General features: G+C 39.4%; 2 annotated features.

Annotated features, from left to right (window-relative positions):
• Positions 6,123-6,837: an enhancer, noted in NCBI's record as "H3K27ac-H3K4me1 hESC enhancer chr12:69725950-69726664 (GRCh37/hg19 assembly coordinates)". NCBI's record gives its function as "activates a minimal SCP1, AML or CMV promoter by ChIP-STARR-seq in naive H9 embryonic stem cells {active_cell/tissue: H9 hESC(naive)}" and the evidence as "EXISTENCE:reporter gene assay evidence [ECO:0000049][PMID:30033119]".
• Positions 7,678-7,837: an enhancer, noted in NCBI's record as "active region_6649". NCBI's record gives its function as "activates an Ori minimal core promoter by ATAC-STARR-seq in GM12878 lymphoblastoid cells {active_cell/tissue: GM12878}" and the evidence as "EXISTENCE:reporter gene assay evidence [ECO:0000049][PMID:35858748]".

Raw genomic sequence — 16,233 nt, 5'->3', positions numbered from 1 at the left:
AAGTATTATTTCAATTTTACAAATAAATAAAGAAATATAGCTAATAAATGTGAGAGCAGGGATTTGGATTCAGGTTCAGTTACATCCTTTTTTCAGTCTACCATACTACCTTGTAAAAATTGAAGTGAAAAAGGAATAAATTCTGTTAAGACCCAATTCTCACGCTTTGACAAGCTATAACGTTGATTTCAGTTCCTGATATAGTTGTGCCAACCCATTATATTCTTTTTAATTTTAATTTTATTTTATTTTGTTATATTTTGTAGATGGGTCTTGCTATGTGGCCCAGGCTGGAGTGCAGTGGTTATTCACAGGCATGGGTATAGTACACTATAGCCTTGAACTCCTGGGCTCAAGTGATCCTTCCACCTCAGCCTCCAGAGCAGTTGGGGCTATAGGCCAGACACCACCACACCTGGTTTATATATTTATGTTAAAGGTGTGAGTTTTCTCTAAGAGTTTGGTCTAACAGCAGGCAATGCCATTGAACGCTTAGAGGCTGTCAGTGTTGAACAACTGATACAATCATTCTGAAGGGCTTTTGATTTCTTTCTCAATGCTCTATTATTTCCATTATCTTTAAGCTTCCAAGGCCAAAGTAATTAGAACTTTGGCTAGATCTCACTTCCCCCTTTCCCATTATAAACAAACACTTTTCTTCCCACTTTGGTCAAGTTACAAAGATCATTCCTCAATTTACACAATAACTGGGCATTCAACATTGAGAAATTATAATGAAATCATCAACTGATTTTTCAGATGTGATGAAATGCAGTCTTGTTTGCAAAGAAACAGAAGTGTTCCCATTTTAACTTCCTCTTTCTAGAAGGGCATTCTGATTTCATTTCTGTATTAAATAAGATCTTTGGATATAAGTTCTGTATAATCTTTTCATTTTGTATTTTTAAAATTTTGTTTTTATTTTTACCATTTTGTTTTTGTAAGCTAGGTTCTGTATAATCTTTTCATTTGCGCCTATCTAATTGTATATTTATTAAATTCCCTCTCACTGAACTAGTGATTTCAACCTGTAAATGAGCTCTGGTAACATCACAAAATGTTGATGAAAGAGGGAAGAAATTTGTTGTAAATAGGATAATGGGGTCATATATGTGGGTTGCATTTTACTCCCTCTTGACAAACATTTTACTGCAACCCTTAGAAAGCAAATAAGTTAAAATGTTTAACTTCCTATTAACGATGATTTGCATATACACATTTACTTGAAGATGATGCTGGTCTCTCTTTTGGCATCACTCTAAGTTGTTTTGGGTGCAGCTACACTATCTTATTCTTTCCTCCCTCACTCCCCCAACTCTAGTACACAATACCTCTGTGAGGTGGCTGTTTGCCAGCATGGAAATACTCTATTTCCAACTCCAGTACACAATACCTCTGTGAGGTAGCTGGTTGCCAGCATGGAAATACTCTATTTCCACCTCAGTCAAGTAGAAACTGAACCCACAAATGTAGTGCCATTTACACCCAGGCCTTGCAATCAAGTCAGCCTGACCCAAAGAGGATAAGGGCTGGTATCAGTGTCTCACACATCTATTTTGTGTGGGTTTTTTTAGTTCCAGAAACACTGTGTTGAGATCACACATTTATTTTAGAAAATAATTTCCTTGACTGCTGTTTCAAACTGACATGTAATTGAAGACTAACAGTAAATTAGAAATGTTATTTTAAAAATAGGATGCTAAACCCTAATCTGCTACTACTTGACTACTAATTTTTGTGAAAACAAAGGGAGTAAAATAAACCTAAACACATAAAAACTACACTTAGAATTATCATATCTATGTAAGGAATTCAATCACACTGCAAGTTAAATCTCCTCTGTGGAGTGTAGCATCTATTTTAGACCTGAATTTCATGTATGGACTTCATGATAACTTCATGTTAGTACATGGCTTTCTTACTAATCCCCTTAACTCCAGGTTTTCTCTCTTCTGACCCACTCCACACCCAGAACGTGCCATTCTTGAACTCAGAGGACTTAGTGTTAAAAACACACATATGTCATTACATATCATCTATGACTTCATTTTCTATTATTGTTTGCTGTTGTATTGTCTTTATAACTGCTATCATGAGCTTTTCGAGGGCTTATGCTCCTTTAAACCTTTGCTTCTGCCTTCCCAGTAAGAAACCTTCACTTGTACAATGTAACCACTCAACAAATTTGGTAAAGTCACTGTATAAAAAATACATCCCACCTACAATTAAATTGTTGCTCTTCTCTTCTGAACATGTGTTTTAAAACAGGATTCTGACGTTACATATGATGCAATGAAGTAACACAAAGTTCTAAATAAAAGCCAACCACAAACTACAGAGGAATGTGTTTTTTTAATTATTAGAAAATAATTACAAAATATAGCTTAGAGTTAAAAAAAGAGAGAGAATAGTTTTTATTTATTTATTTAATTTTTTTTTTTTTGAGATGGAGTCTCGCTCTGTCACCCAGGCTGGAATACAGTGGCACAATCTCAGCTCACTGCAACTTCCGCCTCCTGGATTCAAGCAATTCTCCTGCCTCAACTTCCCTGAGTAGCTGGGATTACAGGCGCCCACCACCATGCCCAGCTAATTTTTGTATTTTTTAGTAGGGACAGGTTTCACCAGGCCAGGATGGTCTCAAACTCCTGACCTCAAGTGATCCGCCCACCTCAGCCTCCCAAAGTGCTGGGATTATAGGTATGATCCACCATGTGAGCTACTGTGCCTGGCCGAGAGAATAATTTTTAAAAATACACAGTTAACTTAGCCCTCTGGAATACATTAGAAATAAGACCATATGTTTGAGGCACAGGATTTCTCATACCAATCTGGGTAGAAACTATTTGAAGGTATGATTCAATACTTCATTTAAAGTTAATAGGGGATTGGGTGCCATGGCTCACACCTGTAATCCCAGCTCTTTGGGAGGCCGAGGTGGGCAAATCGTGTAAGCCCAGGAGTTCGAGACCAGCCTGGGCAACATGGCAAAACCCCATCTCTACAAAAAATACAAATAATTAGCCGGGCGTGGTAGCATGCGCCTTAGTCCCAGCTACTCGGGAGGCTGAGGCAAGAGGATTGCTTGAGCCCAGGAGGAACAGAGGTTGCAATGAGCTGAGATTGTACCACTGCACTCCAGCCAGGGTGACACAGAGAGACCCTGTCTCAAAAAAAAAAAAAAAAATTTAATATGGACAAAAAAATTCCACTTTCATTGCTAAGAACACTATAATTTTATTATAGAATAAGGTCCTGTATAACATTTGGTTACAAAGTTTAAGAATTTATCTATTCATTAGTTCAATATAATAAAAGTTTTTTTTTAATCGAGACAGACAGGGTCTTATTGCCCAGACTGAAGTACAGTGGCGTGATCATAGTTCACTGCAGTCTCAACCTCCTGGGCTCAAGGGATCCTCCTGCCTCAACCTCCTGAGTAGCTGGGACTACAGGTGCACCACCAGCACACCCAGCTGATTTCTCATTTTTTGTAGAGATAGGGTCTCACTACGTTGCCCAGACTGGTCTCAAACTCCTGGGCTCAAGCAATCCTCCCATCTCAGTGTCCCAAAGTGCTGGGATTACAGGTGTGAGCCACTGCGCCCAGCCAAGAATAAAAATTGACTGAATATTTTTCTATGTAAGAGGCACTGTATTGATGCTGAGGATACCAAGGTGAAAAAACATGGTTGTTTTCTTCTACAGAACATGCAAACCAACAATTATAATCCAATGTAATAGTTTTAATGGTGATAGCTACAAAGTGATGATGGAGCATGGAGGGAACCTGAAGTCTGTCTGGAAGAGATGGTGAACGCTTCATAGAATTTCAGCTGAATGAGAATTGGGGGAAGAATAGAATTTTGTTTAGTGGACAAGTGGGGTAGAAGACTTGTGGTAGAAACTTCCAATACTCACCCATATCTAGTTCCCTCTCCTTCCAGGCACAGAGGAGGATTATACTTCCCTGTCCCCTTGTAGAGTTAGGCGGAGTGATGTAGCTAAGTCTAGGCAATGAGCTATGGGTAGAAATGTCATTTCTAAGCTGAAACATTTAACTGCTGGTGCAAAACACTCCAGTGCTCTTACTTTTCCTTGGCAACTGATGAAGTTGTATGTTTCAGAAAGTGTAGCTAGCTACCTGATGGTGGAACCTCCGGCAGCCTGAGCGTCTGAGTGACTATGTGGAGCAGAGCCACTTGCTAAACTGTGATAGGCATTTTGGAATGAATAAGGAATAAAATGCGTGTTAAGCCACTGACATTTTGAAATTGTGTTATTTCAGCATTCCAGGTAGAGGTAAACATATTTAAAAATAAAAGAAAGGAAGAATAGACAAATCTTCCATGCAGGAGAATTTCAAGTACTTTATGTAGATACTCTGCCCTCAAGGAAGTATTGAGGCTGTGCATAGTGACTTCCTTCCAAAGAATACAGTATGGAAACGAGGGAAAAGAATAATTTCACAGGAGAGAAACCTGACAAATTCTACTTCAGTCAGTAGATCAATGTTAACATCAACAGTGATAAGCCACATTGATAAGTATGCATCCTTGATATGATGTGATGAAAATGGTATTTGCCTCTGTGGTCTTTCTCTCCAAAACATATAACCCCAGTCTCACCATAAGAAAAACATCAGACAAACCTCAAATGAAGATTATTCTACAAAATACCTGATGAGTACTCAAAACTGCCAAGCTCATCAAAACAAGGAAATTCTGAGAAACTGTCACAGCCAAGAGAAGCCAGAAGAGATACAACAACAAAATGTTATATGCCACCCTGGATAGGATCCTGTAACAGAAAAGGGGCATTAGGTAAAAACTAAAAAATCTGAATAGAGTATGAACTTTAGCTAATAATAACATATCAATATTGGTTCATTAATTGTAACAAAGGTACCTTATTGATGTAAGATGTTAGTAATAAGGGAAAGTGGGTGTGGGGAATACAGAAATGAACTGTCTTATCTTCAGGATTTTTTTGTAAATCTCAAACTATGCTGAAATTAAAAGTTTATTTAAAAATAAACACTGCCTCGGCAACATAGTGAGATTCTGTCTCTTAAAAAAAAAATTGGCCAGGCATGATGTTACATGCCTGTAGTCCTAGCTACTCTGGAAGCTGAGGTAGGAGGATCACCTGAGCTCACGAGGTAGCGCCATCATTGTGCCACTGCACTCACTCCAGCCTGGGTTGCAGAAGGAATCTCTGTCTCAAAAAAAAATAAAAATAAAAAATAAAATAAAAAAAGAAAAGAAAGGAAAAAAGGTATAAGAAAGAATATGGTATGCTGTGGAAGTTCCTTTCAAAGTAGAAAGTGGAAGTGAAGAGCTTGGCTGGGTAAATGAAGAATCTTTTATGCTATTAAAAGGAAATTCCATTTTTATTGTATAGGTTAGGTGAAGGATCCCTAGAAGATCTATGGATAGGCTTCAGAGGTGTTGCTAAACCTCCAAAATTATATAAAATTATATTGCATATTTTTCTCAGAAGAAAGTAAAAAGCTTTATTATTTATTCTCAAAAGTATAAGTACCTAAAATAGGTTAATAATCACTGCTGAAGGCAATGTAAAAACTGAAGTCTTCCGAGTAAAAGGAATGACACAATTGTATTTTTTTGTGTGCCAAAAAGGACCATAGATCACTTTTTGCTAGGACAGACTAAAGTGATTTGGTGTGTGTGGGGGTGTGTGCGTGTTTGGAGAAGGAAGGCCAAAATGAAAGGCAAGATGATAATAAAGACAGTGATCTTCAAACTTTTGAACGTGGTACATTTTGCAAGGGGAGAAAACTGTTGGGATTCACTCAGGATGGTGGCAGAAAGAATAAAGGGAAATATTAGGGAAAGTTATAGGAAATAGTCACAAACCTTTTAGAAGGCCGAAAGTTTACATAGCTTGTAATAATTGAACAGGCCAAGGCGGCCAGTTCTTACCTTAGAGCATTAGGTCATAGGGTAAATACAAGGGACAACAGAGGCTTCCCCAGTTAAGTCTGTTTACCCAACTTCAATTAACTAACCTTTGAGCCAGATGGCCTTCTCTGGGGAGGTCTACCAAGGATATTGCCCCCTAATGGTATTTGTTACACGCGTCCCTGTGAAGAGACCACCAAACAGGCTTTGTGTGAGTAACAAGGCTGTTTATTTCACCTGGGTGCAGGTGGGCTAAGTCTGAAGAGAGTCAGCAAAGGGTGGTGGATTATCATTAGTTCTTAAAGGTTTTGGGATAGGCGGTGGAGTTAGGAGCAATGTTTTGTGGGCAGGGGGTGGATCTCACAAAGTACATTCTCAAGGGTGGGGAGAACTACAAAGAACCTTCTTAAGGGTGGGGAGATTACAAAGAACCTTCTTAAGGGTTGGTGAGATTACAAAGTACATTGATCAGTTAGGGTGGGGCAGAAACAAATCACTGTGGTGGAATGTCATCAGTTAAGGCTATTTTCACTTCTTTTGTGGATCTTCAGTTGCTTCAGGCCATCTGGCTTAGCTTGGGCTGAGAGGCCTGATAGTATTTACCTGAGACCGTGGTACCTGAGTTTTAATCATTCCTAGAACTACTCTCTTAACCATGTTAATTATCCACAAGTGTGTTTACTCAAGTTTACTCAAAGTGTGTTTACTCAAGTTTACTCAAAGCTTCTGTTGTTAATTGTATACTAAATAAATGCCTGGAGTTCGAGCTGCTCAGGGCCGTCCACAGTGACAAACCTCTCTAGGTGTGCAGGCGGCTGGACACTCAGCTGGACTGGCAAAACAGAATATCTGTGTGTCAGTGTACGTTTTATTCATCTGTCGTTTGGGTCAGGGTCTGAGGGCAGACCCCGCGGCTAATGCCTTCACGTGTGAGGAGCAATACCTCAGCTGGTGGCCTGTGTGAGGAAACCCGTGTGAGGAAAGCCCTGTGAGGAAAGCCGTGTGAGGCCAGTCAGGGGTCTGCAGAAACAGACTCCCCGCAGTTGGAGCCCCTCCTGAGGCAAGCTGCCTAGGAAGAGTGAGGACTGCCCTCATGAGGAAAGCTGCGAAGGAAGCGTGAAGGAAAAGCGACGGACCCCCCGGAAAACAAAGGTGAAGAAAGGAACCGCGCGGTCAAGTCAGTGAGTAATCAGCAAGTCATTGGTGCCCACTCAAAGTTACCAAGTTCTGGGGGAAGTTGGGTCAAGCTGAGTTTTCATCATGGGACCACAGTTATTAGCACAGCAGAAACATTATATGAAAGTATTAAAACAGTTACTTAAGGCTAGCGGAGCCTCAGTTTCACAGGCTCAATTAAGGGACCTAATCATCCATGCTAGACAAACTGTTGCAATGCAAACTCTTGTGATCCCAAGCCCGTGGTTCCCGGAAGAAGGAACGCTAGACGTAGAACTCTGGGAACAAATGGGGAGAAATCTTAACATGTGCAAAGGCAACAGGTCCCAGTAACAGCTTTAACGTTATAGGCTTTAATTAGAGCAGCCTTAGCTCTGTTACACGCAGAAGAGCCTAAAAAGAGCAAGGAGGAGAAAATGTCACCTGCCTTATCACCTCCTCTTCCCTCCACCCTAATATCACCGGGCCGAAATAACAGAGGAAACGGGGGTTTATACCTGAGCCTCCTCCTCCAATAGATAGGAAAAAAGACCTAGGATATGCTACAGCTATCAGTCCCTGTCTTAAGCGGGCAGCATTAGAAGCAGAGCTCTTACTCTGCCCAGTAATGCAGAATCGGCAAGGCAATCAGGTGTATGTTTATAAAAAGATAAGAAAAAAGGCATTAGGAGCCGAAAGCCGTGCAGCCGAGCAAGCAGTAAATAAAAAGAAAGGCTCGGCAGCCCGGAAGTTCACAGAAACAGAGCCAGCACAGGCAAAAGGCAGCGCTTTTACAAGAGTAAAACAGCTACCGCCCAGGGACCCGCCGGCTCAGCTCTCTAGCTCTGCAGGTGACCCAAGGCAAGTGCTCCTTGTTTACAAGCGACATCCCAGATTATAATTCTCTGCTAAAATTTAAGTAAAATGTAAGAATTTGAAAAACCTCTTTTCTGATAATGGCCACTGTTGCTCTCTCTCTCCTACCCCTGACGTAGCTCTCCAAATCCAATTTAGGTAAAACAGTAACCTCTGAAGGGAGAGAGATTACAGAAGGCCGATGAATTAGTTAAAGAGTAGTTAAAAGCTAGGCATGTAAAACCACACATTACCCTTTAAAGGAGAACTTTAAACCTAACTAAATCATATTTGTTAAATTAGAAGAAAAGTTGTATGTAAGTGTAGTGAAAGCATATGCATGAATGACTGTCGTAACCCACTGATTAGATAGTCTTTTGATTTCTACTTGCTAAAAGAGTCCTGAATTCAGTTTCCCAACTACTGGGTCACTGTTTTCAAGACTGTTGGCCAGATTAAAGTCCATAAACTTGATCAGCTTGAAAACTCAATTGCAAGATTTAAGCTGTTCTGCCTGTGGCTTTAAGCACATGGTTAAAGTATATTATTTAAGTTTCTGCTTCTAGAGATGCTTTCAGATTTTCTTTTTAAATTTCATGTTACTTATTTCAACTTGCCATCTTAATGATTAATGCAGTCAATTGCTAAGTTATAACCCTGATATCATCAGGATTCCTTTAAGTAAAAGGTAATTCGAAGCGGTATTGCACTTCCCCATACCTAATGCTTTAACACTGTTTACTGATGGGTCTGGTAAACATGGAAAAGCGGCAGTCTAGTAGAGACCACACAATTCCATCACTCAGAGTTTACTAGCACTCAGAGAGCTGAGGTTACTCTGTTTATTTATTAAAGAACTTTTACAGCATGAAGTTAGCTCTGGAGACCACTCTGTGTGCTCTTTTTCTCCGACTTCAGCAATTGCTACACCAACGTACACATCCTGTTTTTATTACACACATTCGAGCCCACAGCTCTCTGCCTGGCCCATTGGCTTATGGCAATGATCAAGCAGCTCTTCAGGTTGTAACATCACTGCTAGACCAAGCCACCCAATTGCATCAATTTTTCTACTAAAATTAGAGAAACTCATCTTAAACAACTTCAACTTATACAGAGATTGGCTAAACAAATTATCTGACGGTGCCCAGATTGCCAGCTCACAGGCACAGCCCCTCTTTCAACAGGTGTTAACCCTAGAGGATTGGAACCTAATCAGTTGTGGCAAACAGATGTTACATCCCTAAATTTGGGAAACTAAGATATATACATGTATCCGTTAATACCAACACTCACCTAATTAGTGCACATTAAAAAGAGAAATAAAGGGAAAGAATGAGTAAGAAAGAGACTAGAAAAGACAGATCAGAGACAGACACAAAAAGACTAAGGAGAGAAAGTAGGAAGAAAGGAAAGAAATATTAAAGTTACAGATATAAGAATGCACCTTTAGTAAGGAAGGTTATAAAACATAGTCAGAAAGTTAAGCCATGTTAAAGATTGTCTGTGAAAGTTGTGAAGAATGTTATGAAAAGGAATTTATGCAGGAAATATATAATTTTTGTTTTGAAGGTCTAAACAAGTTTTAAAACGTTAATTGTAAAAAAAATTCTGTGTGTAAACATATTGGCTAAAATAAAAAAGGTATCATCCAGTTTTTCTGTAAACTAGACATTAAAGTACAACAAGTTTTTCTTAAAACACTAACCTGCTCTTTAAAGACTGTAAAAAGTCTCTCAGCACAGGCACCACCCCTAGAATTTCCAGTACACCAGCACCAGCCTGGAGACTACATTCTTATCAAAGGATGGAAAGAAGAAAAAACTCAAGCCAGCCTGAGAAAAGACATACAGGACCCGCAGCCTCAACAATGTGGCTTCCGAAGACAACACAGGTCCCAGGCATTATGCTAAAGAAGGAAAAGTCTAAGCCAGATAATTTATTCATTTTAAATTCTCTCACTTTACCTACTACCTATACCTGCTACACTCTATTAAGCTCATCCCTTAAATCTGCCTTTTTTCAGTCCTATCATCTAGGCAGACACTCCCTTTCCAGCTTCTAACAATATCTACGTGTCAATGTATGTTTTATTCTTCTGTCATTTGGGTCAGGGTCTGAGGGCAGACCCCTGCAGCTAATGCCCTCAAGTGTGAGGAGCAATACCTCAGAAAACTATCCCAAAACCTACTTTACTCCACCTGTTGCTACTTTTCTGAGGAAAAAGTACTGAGTAATTATGATGAACTGTCACTTAAAAAGTCAAGTTTGGTTGAATTATATACATCTACTTTAGCATTATGCTTATGAATATTAACATCTGAAGCAAAATGCATATATGTTGTTAATTATAATTATAAACATAAAGCATTGTGATGTAAATCTACACTTACGGGAAATGATCATTACAAAGCAAAAAGGCAGGAACCGAAAACCATGGGACTGATAGCAAAACATCCTTTCTGAAAATTAGGGGAATTCTAACTATTTATGTACAGTTAACATTGCACGCAGCCAGACTTCTTTGTAGGATACTAATTTAGAGTAATCACTAAACCCTATTAATGTGCTAATTTTAGTTTATTAAAACAAATTTTCAGTAATCCTTAATAACTCACAGACAATTAGGTTTGGGAGACAACTAGTTTGGGAGGAGGAAGTCAGAGCCAACTAAGAATTCCTGAAAAAATAACAAGAGCAACTCTGTATTTATAATTTAAAATTCTTTGTGAAATTTCCACTGCCTATTTTCTTGAAATTATGTTTTACATATCCGTGTTTCTCCTTACCAGTCTCTCTCGTTAAATCATGGAATTTGAGTGTCTGTTCATTTATTTATTTTTTTTACTTTTCATTGGTGTATTATATTTACTAAGTTAACACATTTTAAATGTACAGTTGAAAGAATTTTTACATACTCCCCGTGTAACTCCTGTGTTAACCATCTATAAGAGAAACACAGATGTGTAAAACGTAATATCAACATACAGAATATATCCAGTAACCCAAAGTCTCCCTATGCCTCCTTCCAATCAACATTTCTTCAAAGGTAGGCAGTATTTTTTTTTTTTTTTTTTTTGAGATGGAGTCTCATTCTGTCGCCCAGGCTGGAGTGCAGTGGCGCTATCTCGGCTCACTGCAAGCTCCACCTCCCGGGTTCACGCCATTCTCCTACCTCAGCCTCCCGAGTAGCTGGGACTACAGGCGCCCAGTAGACAGTATTTTTATCTCTGTCACCATTAGTTTTTTCCTGTTCTGGGTGTCATAATAATGGAATCAGAGAGTATGTTTTCTTCATGTCAGCTTGTCTCACTCAACATTATGTCTCTGAAATTCCTCCATGTGTTGCCACTTTGTAGCAGTGGCTCATTTTTTTCTGTGTAGTATTACTTTGTATGAATATGCCAGAATTTATCAATTCAACTACTGATGAATTTTTTTCATTCCTTTGGTAAATATGAATAGTTACTATGGATATTCTTATAGGTGTTTTTGGTAGACATATGCACTCATGTCTCTTGACTATAGTCCAAGCAATGGAATTGTTGGGTCATAGGATAGGTGTTTGTTTAGCTGCAGTAAATTCTGCTAGTTTTCCAAAGTAATTGGGCGTATTTAGACTCCTACCAGCAATGATGAAAGTTCTGTTTCTCCATACCTTTAGTATTGCCCATACTTTTAATTGTAGTCTATCTGGTGTGTAGGAAGTAGTATGTTATTGTTTTTTTTAAACTAGCTCATTGAGATATAACATATATATATAAAATAAACCGCATATATTTAAAGTATACAAATTGATTTTTTTTTTTTTTTTGAGACGGAGTCTCACACTCTAGCCCAGCCTGGAGTGCAGTGGCGCTTGGCTCACTGCAAGCTCTGCCTCCCGGGTTTATGCCATCCTCCTGCCTCAGCCTCCCGAGTAGCTGGGACTACAGGTGCCTGCCACCACGCCTGGCTAATTTTTTGTATTTTTAATAGAGATGGGGTTTCACCGTGTTAGCCAGGATGGTCTCGATCTCCTGACCTCGTGATCTGCCCGCTTCGGCCTCCCAAAGTGCTGGGATTACAAGCATGAGCCACCGCGCCCGGCCACAAATTGATGTTTTAAAATATGTATACACACCTGAAATGATCACCACCAAAACAATGAACATACCCATTATCTCCAAAAGTTTTCTGTGCCCCTTTGTAATTCCTCCCTTTCTTTAGCCTCACTCCCCCATTCCCAAGCAGCCACTGATATGCTTTCCGTGATGATAGTTTGCATTTTCTAGTTTTAAATAAACAGAATCACATAGTATCTACTCTTTGTTGTCTAGCTTAACTCTGCATAATTATTTTAAGATTCACCCATGTCATTGCATGTATCAAAAGTCCATTTTTTTGCTGAGTACTATTCCATTGTACAGCTGTACTACAATTTGTTATTCCAGTCATCTGTTGATGGACATTTGGTTTGTTTCCATTTTGGGGCTATTACAAATAAAGCTGTTACAAACATTCGTGTCTCAAGTCTTTGTAGGGACATCTATTTTCTTTCTCTTGGGTAAATACCTAGGAGTAGAATGTCTGGATCACATAGTAGGTGTATGTTTAACTTTTTAAGAAACTGTTAAACTGTTTCCCAAAGGTTTTACCATTTTACAATCATATGTGTCTCATATGTAAAACCAGCATATGAGAGTTCAGGTTCCACCATATCCTTGCCAACACATGATACGGTCAGTCTTTTTAATTTAGTCATTCTAATAGGTATGCAATAGTATCTCATTTTGCTTTTAATTTGCATTTCACCAATGACTAATGATGTTGAACATTTTTTTCATGGGCTCATTTGCCATCTACATATGTTACTTGGTAAAATGTTTGTTGAAATATTTTGCCCATAAAAAACATTGTTTTCTTATTACTGAGTTTTAAGAGTTCTTTATATATTCTAGATACAAATTCTTTTTTTTTTTCTTTTTTTTTGAGACAGAGTCTCGCTCTGTCACCCAGGCTGGAGTGCAGTGGCACAATCTCGGCTCCCTGCAACCTCTGCCTCCCCAGTTCAAGCAATTCTCCTGCCTCAGCCTCCCCAGTAGCTGGGATTACAGGTGCCCACCACCATGCCCAGCTAATTTTTGTATTTTTAGTAGAGACAGGGTTTCACCATGTTGGCCAGGCTGGTCTTGAACTCCTGACCTCAGGTGATCCACCCACCACAGCCTCCCAAAGTGCTGGGGTTACAGGCGTGAGCCACCACGCCCAGACTAGATACAAATTCTTTATCAAATATTTGCTTTGTAAATATTTTCTCATAGTCTGTGACCTGTGGGTTGTCTTTCAGTCTCTTAACATTGTCTTTTGAAGAATAGTTTTCAATTTTGATGAAGTCCAATTTATTGATTTGTTTTTATGGGTTGTGCTTTTGGTGCTGTATCTAAGAAATTTTTGCCCAACCCAAGGTCCAAAGATTTTCTACTATGTTTGTTTTAAGAAGTTTTATAGATTTATGTTTCACATTTAGGTTTATGATCCATTTTGGGTTAATTTTTATGTATGGTGAAATGGTGCAATGTATAGACCCAAGTTTTTTTTTTTGCATATGGATATATACACACACATATATATGCATACATGCAAACACACAATTTACATTTAGTAAACAAGAGATAAAACTGTAATCTCAAAAAAAAATTTCTTTCTTGGTGGTGATTTCCATTAAAGACCATCTCCAGATCCACTTCCTCTTCTGTGTCAGGCTATTGGCATGGAACTAAGTCTATCTGATGTGTAGTTGAGCTGTGTTTGACTGTGTTGTGGTTTTAGTTAGTTTCTGTTCACCACTGACTTCAAGTGTTATGGAGTAGAATGAGGGCTTCTCTTCAGCAGAGCCTGGGATCTGAGAATTAACAACATCCTAGAGATCCATCTGTGCTTCCCAGCCATGTCACCTGGGGGAATCTCTTCCTGCTTCACAGCCAAGCTGTCAGGTTATGGGTTACTGGGAGTTTTCTTTGTTTTTCAGTCTAGTCTCCTGTTTGTGTGTGTAGAGGTCTCTTGAAGCCTTGCTGCTCACCCTCTGGCCTTTGGAGGACAGCTTCTCTGCTCTCCATGAAGGTCCAGAATGTTTCAGAGGAGTTTCTTAGCTTTCCTACTAAGTCTTTAGGCTTTGGTAGTTGAATGCCTGCATTGCTTGTGAGGATTCCTGACCTATCTCAACTTTCACAGTTGGACATTAGAGTACGTCTGATGGATTTCTCTCCACTCGTCTTCCCTGTTCCCTTGCCTCCAGAAAGAGCTATGAACTTGCAGAAGACTCCACACACCCCAACAGGGGATCTCTCTTAACTTTTCTTCTCTCCTTCTAACTTTTTACCTACTACTGTTGTATAATGACCCACGGGAAAAAGTGAATGAGTGGATGCAGACTTGCTCTGTGGCTGGGTATCTTTGGGATTTAATCTGTTTCACTAGCCCATTATTATATATTGGTGAAAAACTAGCTAATTTCTCATTATTCCCATCCATGGTTTTTTTTTTTCCCCTAACCTGTTCTTGCTCCAGTGATGAGAGCAGCTGTGGGTCTTATCTTTCCTAGATAAGGGCTACTTTCTGGAGTTTGTGTTTCTTTTCTTTCTAGATTCCTTTGTGTCTTTAGTCCCTTCTTTATTTTCTTTCTCTCTTTCTTTCTTATAGAGGTAAGAGTCTCGCTATCTTGCTCAGGCTGGTCTGGAACTCCAGGCCTCAGCTGCCCTAGTAGCCACCATACCTGGACCTTCAGTTCTCTGAAGCATTTAAAAAAATTATGTCTGGCTTGTTTTGATTTTTAGCATGAGATTGACACCCTTTTGTGATTTTCTATAATAGAATCAGAAGCAGAACTGAGATTTGGTCTTAATAATTTGAGAATTGTACCTTTACAAATAAAACTGTTTATGGTTATATGAGTAACTAACGTTCAGAGAGAAGTGATTGGCCAAGGTATAGAAATGAGGTAGGGGCTATCTTAGTCAACTCAGGGCTGTCATATCAAAATACCACAGACTGGGTGGCTTAAACAACAGAAATTAATTTTCTCACAGTTTTAGAGGCTGGAAGTCTGAGATCGGAACTAGCATCATTAGGTTCTTGTAAGGGCTCTCTTCCTGGCTTTGCAGACTGCCACCTTCTCCCTGTATCTTCCTATGGTGAAGAAAGAGTTCTGAATCTCTTCTTCTTCTTATAAGGGTACCAGTTCTATTAAATCAGAGCTCCACTCTTATGACCTCATTTAACCTTAATCACCTACTTAAAGACTCCATCTCGAATATATTCACATAGGGGGTTAAGACTTTGACGTATGAATTTGGGGGTGTAGTGAAGGGGGACAAAATTCAGTCCATAGCAAGGTCCTAGATGAATTATAATCCAACACTTTTGATTTCTAGTCCCTCCAGGGTGAGGACTTACAGGGCAAATGGGGGGTCAAGGGACTCAGTGTCGTGTTGTAATTTAAAAAGCATAGGCTGTAAAGTCCAAAAAACTTGAGCTTAAATTTTGGCTCTGCACTAAAACTGTAGGAGCTTGTGAAGGGTCTTCAATGAGCCTCAGTTTCCTAGAAGATGTGAGAGTTTGATGGGATTACATATGTAAAGTGCCTATGTGTCTTGATTGTACTTGTAGGATTTTCACTTTTGGAGATGACTGAGCGATTGCAGAGAGAGGCTAATGTCATTGAAAGAAGATTTCATTGTAATTCAGTTATCTAGAGAAGGGTACATGCCATTCCACTCAGGACCACATGTGGAAGCACCTGGGTCAGTTAGAAGGCATAGGAGCAGGAGGAAAGCATGGCTCAAAGACTTTATTGTGATTTCCATGAGAAGGAAGGAGCAAGACAGTAAATAGTTTAAAATTTGCTAGTTTGAATAATTTCCACAGACTCTGGACTATAGGGATGGGCTCTAGTTGTTAGGTACCTGGCCCAGGGGTGATTTAGGATAGGACAAATATTGGCTTGGTGTGTGATAGTTAGATATAGCCACGACCCCCAAAGGTTTGGGGGTGTGGCTTTGGATTTGTTGTGTTGCAAATGAAAGGTGTTTTCCCAGGCAAGTTATTTACTGTGTCTAGGAATTAACTAGCCCTGGAAGGAGCAGTCCCTCCCCTGCCAGTAGGGCTCCTAAGATGTCAAACCAGACATCTTACAGAAACACAGAAAGTCATTATTAATACATTGTCTCAGTTCCTGGCATATTACTACATGCTTCATGAGTGGTGGTCTTTTCCATAATCACTCCTGTCTTTCTCTCATCTCAGCAGCTTCTGGAAGATT

This window comes from Homo sapiens, chromosome 12 (genome assembly GCF_000001405.40).
Source record: "Homo sapiens chromosome 12, GRCh38.p14 Primary Assembly".
NCBI lineage: Eukaryota > Metazoa > Chordata > Mammalia > Primates > Hominidae > Homo > Homo sapiens.
Note: the sequence above shows the minus strand (reverse complement) of the source record. Positions and strands in the feature narration are given on the sequence as shown.